Genomic DNA, 15,135 nt, shown 5'->3' with positions numbered 1-15,135 from the left:
AAAAAGATCCCATATAGCCAAGCTAATACTAAGCAAAAAGAACAAAGCTGCAGACATCATGCTACCTGACTTCAAACTACACTACAAGGCTGCAGTAACTAAAACAGCATGGTACTGGTACCAAAACAGAGATATAGACCAAGGGAACAGAACAGAGGCCTCAGAAATAACATCAAACATCTACAACCATCTGATCTTTGACAAATCTGACAAAAACAAGCAATGGGAAAGGATTCCCTATTTAATAAATGGTGCTGGGAAAACCGGTTAGCCATATGCAGAAAACAGAAACTGGGCCCCTTCCTTATATCTTATACAAAAATTAACTCAAGATGGATTAAAGACTTAAATGTAACACCTAAAACCATAAAAACCCTAGAAGAAAACCTAGGCAATAGCATTGAGGACATAGGCATGGGCAAAAACTTCATGACTAAAATATCAAAAGGAATTGCAACAAAAGTCAAAATTGACAAATGGGATCTATTTAAACTAAAGAGCTTCTGCACACCAAAAGAAACTATCATTGGAGTAAACAGGCAACCTACAGAAAGGGAGAACATTTTTGCAATCTATCCATCTGACAAAGGTCTAATATCCAGACCTTTGCACAAAAAGTGCACAAAGGATATGAAGAGACACGTCTCAAGACATTTATGCAACCAATAAACACATGAAAAAAAGCTCATCATCATTGGTCATTAGAGAAATGCAAATCAAAACCACAATGAGATACCATCTCATGCCAATTAGAATGGCAATCATTAATAAGTCAGGAAACAACAGATGCTGGCGAGGCTGTGGAGAAATAGGAAGGCTTTTACACTGTTGGTGGGAATGTAAATTACTTCAACCATTGTGGAAGACAGTGTGGTGATTCCTCAAGGATCTAAAACCAGAAATGCCATTTGACCCAGCAATCCCATTACTGGGTATATATCCAAAGGATTATAAACCATTCTACTACAAAGACACATGCACACATATGTTTATTGCAACACTATTTACGATAGCAAAGACTTGGAACCCAAATGCCCATCAGTGATAGACTGGATAAAGAAAATGTGGCACATACACTATGCAGCCATAGAAGAGAATGCATTCATGTCCTTTGCAGGGACATAGATTAAGCTGGAAACCATCATTCTCAGCAAACTAACACAGGAACAGAAAAACAAACACCACATGTTCTCACTCATAAGTGGCAGTTGACCAGTGAGAACACATGGACACAGGGAGGGGAAAATCACATATCGGGGCCTGTCAGAGACTGGGGGACAAGTGGAGGGAAAGCATTAAGACAAACACCTAATGCATGTGGGGCTTAAAACCTAGATGACAGGTTGATAGGTGCAGCAAACCACCATGGCACATGTACACCTATGTAACAAACCTGCACATTCTGCACATGTATTCCAGAACTTAAAGTAAAATTTTTAAAAGTGGGCATAGCATATAAACAGATATTTTTCAAAAGAAGACATACAAGTGGCAAACATGCTTGTGAAAAAATGCTCAACATGACTAAATATCTGAGAAATGCAAATTGAAACCACAATGAAATATCATTGTACACCAGGGAGAAAGGCTGTTTTTAAATGTCAAAAGACAGCAGAGTGCAGTGGTTCATGTCTATAATCACAGCACTTTGAGAGACCAAAATGGGAGGATTGCTTGGGGCCAGGATTTCAAGACCAGCCTGGACAAAATAGTGAAACCCTGTCTCTACAAAAAATAAAAATGTCTTGCCATGGGCCTGTAGTACTAGCTACTCAGGAGGCTGAGGCAGGTGGATCATTTGAGCTCAGGAGTTTGAGGCTATAGTTAGGTATGATCGTGCCACTGCCTTTCTGCCCAGGTAAGAGTGTGAGATCCTGTCTCAAAAGAAAGTCAAAAAACAACAGACATTGGAGAAGATGTGGGGAAAAGAAAAAAATTATGCACTGTTGGTGGAAGTGTACATTAGTGCAACCTCTATAGAAAACTGATGATTTCTCAAACAACTAAAAGCAGAACTGCCCTGTGATCCAGCAGTTCCATTACTGGATAGGTACCCTCTAAAAAGAAATCATTATGTAAAAATGACACCTGCACTTGTATGTTTCTTGCAGCACTTTTCACATAGAAAAGTCATGGTATCAATGGACAGATGGACAGTTGGATAAAACAAGGTGGTTTGTGTGTGTATGAATACTACATATATATATATATATATATACTCACACGTATACATATATATGTATATATGTATACGTGTGTATATGTGTGTATATATATATATATATATATGCACACACACACACACCCCATGGAGTAATACTCAGCCACAAAAATGAATGAAATTATGTTTTTTTGCAGCAACGGATATGGAACTGGAGGCCGTTATCCTTATTGAAGTGATTCAAACTGAAAATCAAAAACTGCATGCTCTCACTTGTTAAGTGGGAGCTAAACAATGGGTACTCACGGACATGCAGAGTGGAATGATAGACAGTGGAGGCTCAAAGGTGGGAGAGTGGGATGGTGGTGAATGTGAAATATCACCTAGTGGATATAACGTACATTATCTGGTAATGGGTACCCTAAAAGCCCAGATTTCACCTCTATGCAATATATCCACATAACGCAACTACATCTGTACCCCAAAATCCATAAAAATAAACAAATCCCCCAGGTTACACATACATAATTAGGCGTTTTATTGTATGTAAATTCTACCTCATTCAAGGCAATTTTTAAGAATCAGGTGAGTTTTCCAAGTAGTGCACAGAGGACCAGTGCCGGCAGCTTGGCTGTCTGAGGGGAGGAACAAGAGATACCCGTGGGCTCCCACATTCATCCCGCGGCTGCTGCTCCCTCTCCTGACACCCCCATCACCTGCCAGGAGTCTCCCTGCACCTCCCACTGGGCCCCACCCACAGTTACCCTGAGACTCCAGGTCATTCCCTTCCCTGCTCACACCCGCCCCAGGAGCTTCCTCTTCTTGGAGCAGGCATGCTCAGCCCCGCCTCAGGGCCTTTGCACTGGCTGTTCCCGCTGCCTGGAGCTCTGCTTCCTGTCTAGACAGGGCTTCTCACCTTTCCAGTCTCCCTGACCACGGTCCAGTGGCTCCATCTGTCTCTACCTCATACTCTTTCACTTCCAACAGACAGACTAATTTCCTGATATTAATTATTGATTATCGCTTTCTCATCCTCCATACCCTAAGGAGCAGAACCACTGCCACCAGCCACATGTGGCCATGGGTCACTGAAAATGAGGCCAGTCCAAGATGACATTTGGTCTAAGTGTAAAAAAAAACAACAGGGAGTTTCAAAGACTTACACACATTCAAAAGAATGTAAACTATCTCATTAACAACTGTTCCCATGTGTTGAACTAATATTTTGGATATATTAGGTTAAACAAGAAATATTATTAAAATCACTCCCTCTGTTTCTTTTTCCTTTTTTAACGTGTCTATTATAAAACTGAAAATTGCTCATGGGTTTGTGTCACATCTCTGTCCATGGCTCGGTCATCCGTGCTCCCTCTCTAGGTCCTAGACCACCTGGTACCAGGAGGAGCTGGTAAAGGGTTTGTGCATTGAATAATGAGGACTCATGAAAAGAGAACCTAATGGCCTTTTGCAAAACATTAATTCTCTTATGTCTGGCAAAGAAATTCCCCAGAGCAGGATGCAGAATAAGCCTTCCAGGAGCTCCTGAAATCATCTCTCTGTTTCATGGATTCCCAGACTGTGACCAAGCTCTCACTGATGCCTCTGAAAACTGAAGATCCCAGGAGGGCCCTGCACTTTTCCCTTTTCTGAGGAAACAGGAGGTCATGTTGCTTTCACAGCCCAGTGAGCAGTGTGCCCTCTCTGGGGACAACGGTGAGCCAGCTTGGGAGCAATGGGGTGGAGGGGCAGGGCTGGAAAAGGGGTGGGAGTGAGGAGAGTAGTGAGGAGGAGGGGGAGACGGAGGAGCAGACTGGGGGATGGAGGGGCAGGGGCGGAGGGGCAGGGGGAACTTAGGCAGGGAGGGAGGTTATGGGGGGCCGGGCGGGGCGGGTAGGGGGAGTAGTGAAATGAGAGATGGATAAAGAGGGGGATGGGCAGAAAGAGGAGGAGGAGCCAAGGGCGGGCATGGAGTGGGGTGGGCTGGGGCTGCGGAAGCACGATAAATGCACAGCTGCCTGCTGGTCTGGGCTCCCTACCTTAGGCTCTCTCCCTCATCTCCTGCAGCTCCAGCTCTGCGCTCTGCCTCTGAGAAGCCCATGGCCCGGCCCCTGTGCACTCTGCTGCTCCTGCTGGCCGCCCTGGCAGTGGCCCTGTCCTGGAGCCCCGAGGAGGAGGAAGGACAATCGGGGTGACATCTATGACACACACCTCAATGATGAGTGGGTACAGCGTGCCCTTCACTTCACCATTAGCAAGTACAACAAGGCCACCAAAGATCAGTACTACAGACGCCCGCTGTGGGTGCTGCGAGCCAGAGAGCAGGTGGGTGCTGCCACCACACCTAGGGATGCCATAGCCTCTGCTTTGCCCCTCTGAGAGCATTCCCAGCAAATCAGCACTGACACATTCATGATCTAAGGCTCAGACTCATTCAGCTTTCCCTGACAGTCCGCTGACGGCCTTCAAGCCCAAGGATGCTCTTGGGCCATGAGTGCTTGAGTTCAGCCTTGTCGTGTCCACTTGGCCACCTTTAACCTGCAGCAGTCACTGGGTCTGTGCCATGATGTTAGCATTTCCCAGGGTCCAGCAGGTGTGGATGGAGACTGTGCGGACTCTGGGTGGGCTTGGTGCTGCTCAGGATGAGATCCAGGCCATGAGGCTCATCCTCCTCTCTGACTCCTCTCTGCAGGGGCCACAAAGGAGCCTGGCTCCTTGTCCTGCAGAGCCCTGCTTCCCTCCCCAAGTCACGCCCTGGGTACAGCCCCTTAGGGCTACCAGCCTTCACCCTCAGACTCACTGACCACCTCCTGCAGCCCAGGACTGCTGAGTTCCTGCTGGGGTGGAACACACCTGATGACCCTCCCTCTGCCAGCTGACACAGAGTTAGACTCAGCCAGTGAGGACAGCAGTCACCCAGCAGAGTAGAGGAGGGAGTTGGGTCAGGAGGGAGATTCAGCAGGGCTACCAGGCCCAGGTTGACGTGCATCCCGTGGCAGAGCAGCAAACAGTGACATAGACTTTAAAGCTCCTCCACCTTCTCTTGGAAATTCAAAGGAGTCCAGACCAGCCCCGTTTCTCCTCCTGCAGCCATCAGCTGGTGCTCTCTGCCCGCACATGAGGTGCATTCGCTGGTGTCACAGTTCCTCCTGGCCTGCAAGTGTCTCTGAAGTGTGACAGTAACTCAGAGTGAAGCAGTGGATGATGTGAATTGTTGGGCCCAGGATCCTAATTTACAGATGGGGAGACTGATGCCCTAGAGAACACACAACTACCTCTTGGTTCCACAGCCTGGTTCCCAGGGCTCCTTCTCCTGTGCTTCTCCCAGTTCTGACAAGTTGCGCCTCCATGATGCCCTGTGCAGGGAAAGCATTCAATTCTCTTCTGCAATAGCAAGTTTAACACAAGTAGGTGTATGACCCTAGAAATACTGGAGCCAAAAACCCACTCAGAATGGAGGCATTAGAGAGGAAGTCTCCTATTGGCCTAAAACATCCACTCAGAACAGAGGCATTAGAGAGGAAGTCCCTTATTGGCCTAAAACATCCACTCAGAATGGAGGCATTAGAGAGGAAGTCTCTTATGGATGTTTTAGGCCGGCACTAAAGCATCCACTCAGAATGGAGGCACTAGAGAGGAAGTCTCTTGTTGGCCTAAAACATACATTTGTGTGAAGCCTCTCATCTCCTACTGATAAAAGAGGGAATAAATAAATCTGAGTTAAATGGAGGAAATAAGATGCTCAATGGGCTGAATGCTAGAAACTGGAAGTTAGCTGAAATTTCATCATCAGACGACAGCCTTCCTAGAAGAAATACAGGGTCCCTGCCCCTTGGGCCAGCAGATTTCAGTTAATCCTTTGCACTGGCACAGAGAAAACAAGTTACCAGGGAGGCCTGGGGCATATCACCCCTGCCAGCCGGCAGGAGGTGACTGTGTGCCTTGCAGGTGGGAGTGTGGGCAGCTCATGAAGGCAGGAATGAAGCCCCAGGCAATTCCCTTGACTCAGTCACAGTGATGTGCCTGTGTGTGCATGAAACTGGTGGAGAGCACTGTCCGTGCATCCTGCTCTTTCACGTGAGTAGGTCGTGGCTGCGATGAACTAAATCTTTGATGTGGAGATGGGGCAAATCAAATGTGCCAGGTCCCAGCCCAACTTGGAAAAGTGTCCGTTCCATGACCAGCCAAAACTTCAGGAGGTGTGTGCATGATGTGGGTCGGGGACAGTTGTGCATTGCAGAGGGGTGTGTGTGTGTGTGCTCGTTCATATGTTTTGAAGGGTATGTGTGTAAGCGCATCGGTATGCCTAGAGCAGGGCATGCAGGCATGGGTACATTTATATGGCGACATGCATGTGTGTTTATGCAAACATGGCAGATGTGTGTTGGGAGAGACATGAATGTATGTGCATATGAAGTTATATGTCTGTGCATGTACATGTGAGTAGGTGTGCAGGTGTTTTGCTCATGGAAAGGGGCATGTGTACACACACATGTGCAAGTGTGTGGGGGAGGTGCATGGGAGTGTGCATGTGGTTGTGTGGGAGAAGTATGGACGTTTGTGCATAGATCCATGTGGGTGAGAGTTGGGGTGAGTTCATGTAGATGAATATGTGTGTGCATGTAGGTGGGGTGGTGTGGAGAGGAGTGAGGAATTTGATTTGCTAAGAGGGCTTTAGCTTGGGAATGGGGGTACTGGGAGCTCCACCTCATGTGCTTAGGGTTGTTGCCTGCTGAACCATAGGAAGCAGCTGCAGGGCTGGGTGCTGGGCAGGGAGATGGGGCTCTGTCTAATCCCAGCTTCAGGCACCTGCCCACAGCCACCGCCACGCTGAGCAGATTAGAGGGACCTAGAGGCCTGTTAGCTGCAAAGCCCTGGACCTGCCCCGCTCACCCAACAACAGCCTCTCCAAAGACCTGCTTGTTCTTGTGAGGTCTGCAATCTGGGAAGACCCGCACTCCCCTTCTCGCCCGCTCCCTACGCCCCAGCTCTTTCAAGGGGAGCTGCCCTGCCCTGGCTTCTTCCCTCTGGCCCCTCATAGTGCTGGCCTAGGCACAGGAGGTGGAAGGAGCTGGGGGCAGTGTGCTGCCTCCCCCTGTCCTGCACCCTTAGGGCTCCGGAGACCTTGCACAGGCTGCTCCTCCCAGGGCTGTGCTGGGGCAAGAACCCTGCAGGCTGGAAATGGGGGCAATGCCACCTGGTGAACTGGAGCTTTCCATCCCCACCTGAGAGGGGGAATGGAGTAATCACTGCACAATTTGGTTCAGTTCCTTGGGTCTCAGCAGGAGCAGGTGGGGACACAGTGTCTCACCTCCATCCATCCTTGCCTCCATCAGATGCCTCATGCCTGGGCGCCTCTCACTTTAACTGCAGCCGACACTGTTAGTCCCTCTCTCTTTCCTTTCACGGAAACAGTTATGCTCTTTCCAGATCTATGAAGTTCCTTGGGAGGACAGAATGTCCTTGGTGAAATCCACGTGTCAGAATGTCTAGGGGTTTGTACCAGGCCAGCTGCACAAACCACCTCCTACTCCCATGCCACTGTAGTGCTCTCACCCTTGAATTGGTGGTTCCTGCCCTGGGGGAGGTCTCCTCTGAGGGTCTTCACCAGGAGACAGGCAGAGAAGACATCAGGAGGCTTTCTTCACAGCAGGGGTTTCTGCCCTGGCTCCTTGCTTCTTACAGCCCCGGTGTATGGTACACATGCCCCCTTCTCCTGCAACTAAACAGTAGCATCTGCTCCCACTGAGTTCTTGGCTGTCCAGGGCTGTGCAAACAGGAAGGGTTTTGGCGGACCCTTTATGAAACTCTCCTTGTCCACCAGCCCCCTCCTCCAAGTCTGACCTCTTCCAAAGGGAGCAGCCCAGGTTCTAGTGTGAGAGCAGTGCCTCCTTTCATCAGTTCCATGTGGGTGTGCCCTGCGCAGGGAGATCATACCCTATGCTGAACAGGGAGATTGTGCATTACACTGGGAGGTAGTGCCCTGCGCTGGGAGGCTATGTGCTATGATGAGAGGTGGTGTCCTATGCTGAGAGATGGTGCCCTATGCTGGGAGGCTGTGTCCTATGCTAAGAGGTGGTGTCTTATCCTGGGAGATTTTGCCCTGTGCTTGGAAGTTATGCCCTACACTGGGAGGCAGTGCCCTGTGCTGGGAGGTTGCACCCTAGGAGCATTGTTCACGTTCACACCCACTAGTACTTTCTCTTGGACTTGGATTTAAAGCAAGTCGTCATGTCAAACTTAACATAAAGTATGTAGAAATTAAAACATTCAGGACTGTAATGCAGTGGATGCTCTTCAGGTTTCAAGAAGGATGTTCTCATTAATAAAGAACATCACTTAATTGTCACTAACATTCCAAAGAACAGTGGACATTTCTGCCCTGAACAGGAAACTACAGTCCTAAGTCACACAGCCCACCCTGCACAGTCCTCTTTGCCATTTCAGGGTACAGGGGGGCAGCCTCATGGCCGGTGCCCCAGGCAGGGCTTTCCAATACCTTCCATGCTCAGAGTCACATTGAGCAAGGGCTGCTGCCATGAGCATGGCGGAGGGCAGGGGCACAAAATGATAAGAGGAAATCTGCCCAAATTGTCCAGAGGCTGGCACCCATGTGCCACACCTTTCTAAGACTTTCTCTCCCAAAAATGATGTCACAAATCAGTGGTAAAAGATTGAAAATGAAGATGTTAGAAAGGATTTTGAAGGGATATTGAGGCTCTCAGAGCATGGCAGGACTTTGTGTAAAGCAGCCAGTGTCAAGCCTGGTCTGCAAAGTGGACCTAGGTCCTGTGTCCTTAGAACGCATAAAGTCCAGATAGATGTGGAATGTTCTGTCCATAAACCCCTTCTCTGTAGCTCTGTGCTTCTGTGTAAAGGTGGATGTAGATCCTCCAGGCAGTGGGATGTTCTTCTTACTGATAAGCAAAGTTTCTGACAGCCCCTGACTCTAGAGGATGAGGTCTTCCATTGAGTCAGAAAGCAGTCTTGTGTTGACCTCCTATCTCATCCTGTGACTTAGAATGCCTTAACCATCTGGGAATGCAGCACAGTAGGTCTCAGCCTCATTGTACCCAGCCCCTACTCCAGATGAAGTTGCTCTGATTCAAACGCCTCTGACATGAGCACGTAGATGGGGTGGTGGGGAACAAATGTGATGAATTTGATTTGGTAAGTGGGATTTAACTTGGCATTGGGGGTACTGGGAGCTCCACCCTGCATCCTTTGGGATGTTACCTGCTGGACTGGAGGAAGCAGCTTCAGAGCTGGGTGCTGGGCAGGCAGAAGGGGCTCTGTCTAATCCCAGCCTCAGGCACCTGCCCAGAGTCAGAAAGCAGTCATCAGCCAGCAAGAGGCTGTTTGACATTTCAAAGCTGCAGCTTGAGAGAAACATTCTGTCCTGCTCATGATGCCACTGGCTTTGTTAACATCAGTCCATCTATCCACTCTGCAGATGAAAGGGCAGATTTGCCCTTCTTAATCCACATGATTTTTACTTCCTCACATGATATTTTTATTAATCAGCTACTGACACAACTCATAATTTCATTCGATGTTTTTATACTCAACTAATGAATCACTATTTGCCTCATTGTAAGACATTTATCATAGGACTTTGTCAAGTATAACAGAAGAATAAAGCAGTCTTTCCACTAAAAGGTTTGATCACTTGTAAAATTGATGGCTCATCACATCTTGATTCAAACTCATACTTGGTCATATCGTGCACATTTTTCTGATTGTTGTCTAATTTGGAAAAGCCTCTTTCATTTTCCTTTCATCTGCAAGCTCTAAGATTTTAATACCTCTAAAATTTCTTGACTTAAATTTGAAGACCTTAACAAATCTTTCTACTGACAATACACACAAACACAGCATTTTTAAACTGTCACAGTTGTATTGAGCTTCAGAATTATCTAAAAATGTCATTATGGGTTATATTTATTAGCTCATTGTATGTGCAGGAGGTGTTTGTCCTGAAGCAAGTATTTCTTCGAGCTGTCTTTCTGCTAGTCACAGTTTTATATCTGTGTTATGTGGAGCTCCCAGACTTGATCAGGATAAGAAGAGGTGGGAGGTCAGCCCCATCCTCAGTTCTGTGCCGCTTCACACACATATGTCCTTATTATGGGTAGTTTCACCACACAGATCTGTGCTCTACAAATGTCAAAAATTCAGAAATTCTATCTCATTCAATTCCCATCAAAAATAAAGACAACTGCATAATGCACTAATTATGTTATATGCCATATTACTAAATACATTTCCAATAGAATAAAACTTCCTTTTTTGACTAGGGTCAAAAAGAAACAAAACACTCACTTAAAATTTTGCATGTTTCTTCTGGGAATAATTTTCCACAGATGGGCTTCTGGCGCCACACATTGCAAACCTTCTTTCCTCTGCTAATCACAGGCTTCCAATGTGAGGTGCTGGGGACATTTTCTGATCAAGGTTCTACCTCTCCTCAATGCTTTAGGTAAAATCCAAGATGGTGGTAGGGCCTTGTCTGGGGCCTCTCCTGCACCAGGACAGTTTGAGGCAACATGACTATGCACAGGAGTGACTGAGAACCATGGGACTGTGTTCCCCTCACCCCAGGTTAAATGCATCCCAACTCAACTTCCTCTTAGCCAGATACCAAAATGCCTGTGTCCACCCTACACCATCCAGAGGGCCATGAATGGGAAGAGGAAAGCCAGAGTAGAAAAATCCAGTGTTCTTAGCTGACTACAGTGAAAATATCACACATCTTTTATTGTACAAAACATCCAGCCAAGTAAAGCTGTTGCTAGGGCCCACTTGGAGCCTTTTGTGGGGTTTTTGAAGATCTCTGTACTTAAACGTCATTAGCATCATTGAAGATCTTCTGGATTTTTATGAGAAGACTTTACTATTTTTGCAAGAGTGGATGGGCCAAGGGGAAATGGGAAGGAGGCAAATCCACCATCCACAAAAATAGGAGACATGGAGAAGAAGTGAGGGAAGGAGAAACTCATGCAAAAGAAACCTGCACGTGCATGAGGACCTGGCAAGAGGCTTTCCGCAGCATGTAAGAAAGTCCCCAATTAAAAATGGCTTGAATGCAAAGGGAGTGCTCTACCTTTCATAATAAGAAGGCCCTGGGTGAGACAAGCTTTAGGAACAGAACTCCCACCATCTAGCTCTGCTTCTCTGGGATTCTCTCATTCGTACCTCTCTGTTCATGATGCTGCAGCCTCAAGCTGGTAGCAAGGTGGTTGCCACAACTCCAGACATCACATCATCAGCACCAACATCCAGAGGCAGAAAGATCCTAGGGAGAAGCCTCTGTTCCACCCGTCCTTCCTGAATGTGAGTAAGCTCCTCCTATGCACTCACTCCTTTTGATGCCTCATAGGCCAGGTCTGGATCACAGGCCCATCCCCTACACCAATCATACACTTAATAGATCTTAATACATCTACACTTAAAAGATGTTGAGAATCTATTAATACATCATTGATAGTGTCACCAACACTCAGTGAAACCTGTGGATGACCATGGCAATGTCCTGGTAATAGCACAAACTTTAACATGATCAAAATGATGTCATCACTAGAGACTACTCAAATAAATTATAGAGCACACACATTATGGAAGAGTGGTTAAGAATTAGATAGCAATATATGTATTAAACTGGAAATAATTTTAATATATCTTGAATATATTATTTTATTGAAAGCAAGGTATATATGGTGTGTTAATATAAAGCTTGTTGTAAAAACAAAGTAAACACACATGTGTATGAGTGGCTATATAGACATTTAGACACATATTTCCACATATGGATATACACATACACATCTAAAATATGGGAAAGGAGAGAGGCAAGCAGTCATTTGTATTTATTAACATTGGATATCACCGAAGAGAGGTGGTAGTGTGTGTAGGGAAACGGATAATTTGGCTTTTGCTTTTTTTATATTTAGAATCTTTCTTTTCCATTTGAATATTACAAAAATATGTGTGTGTTCTTTCTACCTCTTTTTTAGTGTCAGCTAGGAGTCTTTGGGTGATGAGATTACAGGTTATTTCCCCTTGGATCCTCCCTATGTCTCTATTTTTAAAACTAACAAATACTATGGCTGAATGACTTATTGGTGTGGTTGATATACCCACATATGCCTAACAGCTTATCAACTATGAGTTAATCGGCAGTTTATTTTCAGCATAAGTGTTCTCACAGCTGGGTACAGTGGCTCATGCCTATAATCCTAGAACTTTGGGAGGTCGAGGCAGGTGGATGATTTGAGGTTGAGAGTTCAAGACCAGTCTGGCCAACATGGTGAAACCCCATCTGGCATGCACCTGTAATCCCAGCTACTCGGGCGGCTGAGGCAGGAGAATCACTTGAACCTGGGAGTTGGAGGTTGCAGTGAGCCAAGATCATGCCATTGCACTGTAGCCTGGGCAAAAAGAGTGAAACTCCTTCCTAAGGGGGAAAAAAAATTGTTCTCACATGCTCCCTGATTTGTGAAAGCCACTTAGTATTTAATAAGTGTTTCCTTGTTTTTCATGGCAGTAAATGTTTTCAGATATATCCTCCGCCATCTATACTCTGAGCTCCTGGGGAAGAGAAGGTGTCTTAGGTCACATTCCCTACGAAGCCTTCACCACCAGAGAATTCATCACTGCCGTGGACTCAGTGACTGTGATTAGCAAGTGGGCTTTGGCTTGGCTTTAGTGTGCTCGATTTCATCCTCTTTCATTCTCCTGTATTCTACTTTGATTGAATGTAAAGAGGAGGTAGCCTGCTGCCCAGTTCAGTTGAAAGTAATGGACGTCTGAAGCTCAAGAGGTGAGTCTGTATTTAATTTCAGTGCAAACTCACGGCATTTCATTTACATCTCAGCGTCGATACTTCAACATTAGAATGGTGTACCAGTCACTGATCCCATTAGGAATCAGATGAGTATTGTAGAAATGGTGTGTATGTATGCATAGGCACACTCCTGCACAAACCCACTTGTAACCTTTTGAGTACTATGGAGTTTCTACAAACTCTTTGTGGACTCTTATATTAAGAAATTTTGTTCTGAAAACCTCACCAGCCATTCCCTACTCCCTTTCTCCTGCCTGCCCCGAGTGCAAAGGCTGAAAGCATCAGCCAATAAACTTCCTGGCCTTCCTCACCCCAGGGGGCATAGGACCCAAGTCCAGGCAATAACATCTAAGAAGACAGCCAGGTCATCACAAAAAAAAAAAAAAAAAAAAAAAAGCCTATACTGAATAGAAAAGATCGAGGCCTTGGAAAGAATCCTCTCTCTCTCTTTCTCTCTCTCTCTCTCTCACACACACACACACACACACACTCTCTCTCTCTCTCTCTCACTCACTCTCCACACCCTCCTCTCACCACCTGTGACCTCCTCCTGCTCCTGCTCCTCATCTTTCAGGCTGTAGTGTGGGACAGAATGTCCCAACTATGGTGTCTGCCTTTCACTATGAGCCGTGTGCCCAACAACAAGAGCCCAATGAATGATGGAGAAGATGGAAGGAAACCACCTGGGCCCCTGCTGAGGACACTGCACCAACTCTGTGAACACCACCCCCATGGCCTTTGGTAAATGACCAGTGTCATCATGGGAGAGGTAGCCTGTGTTTCTCAGGACTCTTCCTCTCTGCAGCCAGGATACTTCCAGGAATGATGGAGCTGACACATCACTAAGTGCCAGTCCCAGAGCCAGGGTGGCAAATGAAGCTTATTGTGCAATGTGAACAAAATGTATCTGAAAATTACATGACCTGGCTTATTGTCCCCAAATTGCCTTCTACATATTTCCTCAAAATTACAAAGGGTTTGTGTTACCTGCCTAGCCTTCCCCATCAGGTAGATCCAAAGAAATTTGGTAAGTGAAATATTTCACCAAGACCAATGCAAATGGAAGCTTTGGTTTTCATTTTACTAAGGAGTAAGGAGGGAAAAATAGTCCTGCTGAGTGAGAGATTTTCAAGAACAGGGAACTTTCCAGATAAAACACCATTTTTCCAAATAAGTCTCAGGTCTGAATGCATTTGGAACATCCTACCCCTTGAATCCTGAGAAGAGAGACATCCAGTCTCCTAGACAAGAATTGCTCCACCCTCCAAACATTCACAGACCTAACACCCACTGTAGTTTAAAAGGCAGGATATTTGTGGTGTGAGTCCTGACTCCACCATCTCTTGGTTAGGGTTCCTGGAAACAGACCCAGATGGAGATTCATGGGCAAGAGGCTCACTGAGGCATGTGCTGGGGAGGCAGGGGCATGGGGTAGGGCAGAGGAAGAAGTCAGGCAGGGGTGCAGCTCAGCAGATGACAGCCACAGCCAGGCCCATGGAGAGCTCTGCAATGGGGATGGCCTCAGAGTGGTAGCATATCAGGGCAAAAGAGTCAACATTTTGTACCCGCATATAGACCTATTATTTAAAATAGGCAATTCCAGGAGGGGCATGAACTTGGACAAAGCAGCTTCCTTTGACTCAGATCAATGCCCACAGAAGGACTCAACTGTGAGCCATCAGCGGCCACACTCCCAGTAGCTGAGAGAATGAAGTCTCACTGGTAAAGGGGAAACTGGTGGATGGAGCCCCTGCTGAGAGAGCGAGGGATGTCATCTCGAGGAGACTCAGTTAACTCATCTGTACAATGGGAAAAATTATAACTATGACTACGTATGGTCATTTAAGGTCTGTGGACTATGTACTTAAGTTTGTTTTTATGGTAGCAGGGATCTTTTGTTTCCATGTGTAGTACTTCCTGAAGAATCTCATGTAAGGCTGGTCTAGTGGTAACAAATTTCCTTAGTGATTGTTTGCCTGAAAAACATTTTATTTCTCTTTGCTTCTAAAGCTTAGTTTGACAGAATATGAAATTCTTGGTTGAATTTTCTTGTCTTTAAAAATGCTGAAAATAGGCTCCCATCACTTCTGACTTGTACAGTTGCCACTGAGAACTTTGCAGTTAAACTGATGGG

At 46.3% G+C, this 15,135-nt stretch overlaps 1 pseudogene, besides 1 other annotated feature; it reads left to right on the top strand.

The window, feature by feature from the left end:
- Nucleotides 4,087–4,587: an enhancer, noted in NCBI's record as "H3K4me1 hESC enhancer chr20:23756477-23756977 (GRCh37/hg19 assembly coordinates)". NCBI's record gives its function as "activates a minimal SCP1, AML or CMV promoter by ChIP-STARR-seq in naive H9 embryonic stem cells {active_cell/tissue: H9 hESC(naive)}" and the evidence as "EXISTENCE:reporter gene assay evidence [ECO:0000049][PMID:30033119]".
- On the top strand, nucleotides 4,258–7,568 carry CSTP2 (cystatin pseudogene 2; annotated as a pseudogene).

Source organism: Homo sapiens, chromosome 20, assembly GCF_000001405.40.
Source record: "Homo sapiens chromosome 20, GRCh38.p14 Primary Assembly".
In the NCBI taxonomy this organism is placed as follows: Eukaryota; Metazoa; Chordata; class Mammalia; order Primates; family Hominidae; genus Homo; species Homo sapiens.
Note: the sequence above shows the minus strand (reverse complement) of the source record. Positions and strands in the feature narration are given on the sequence as shown.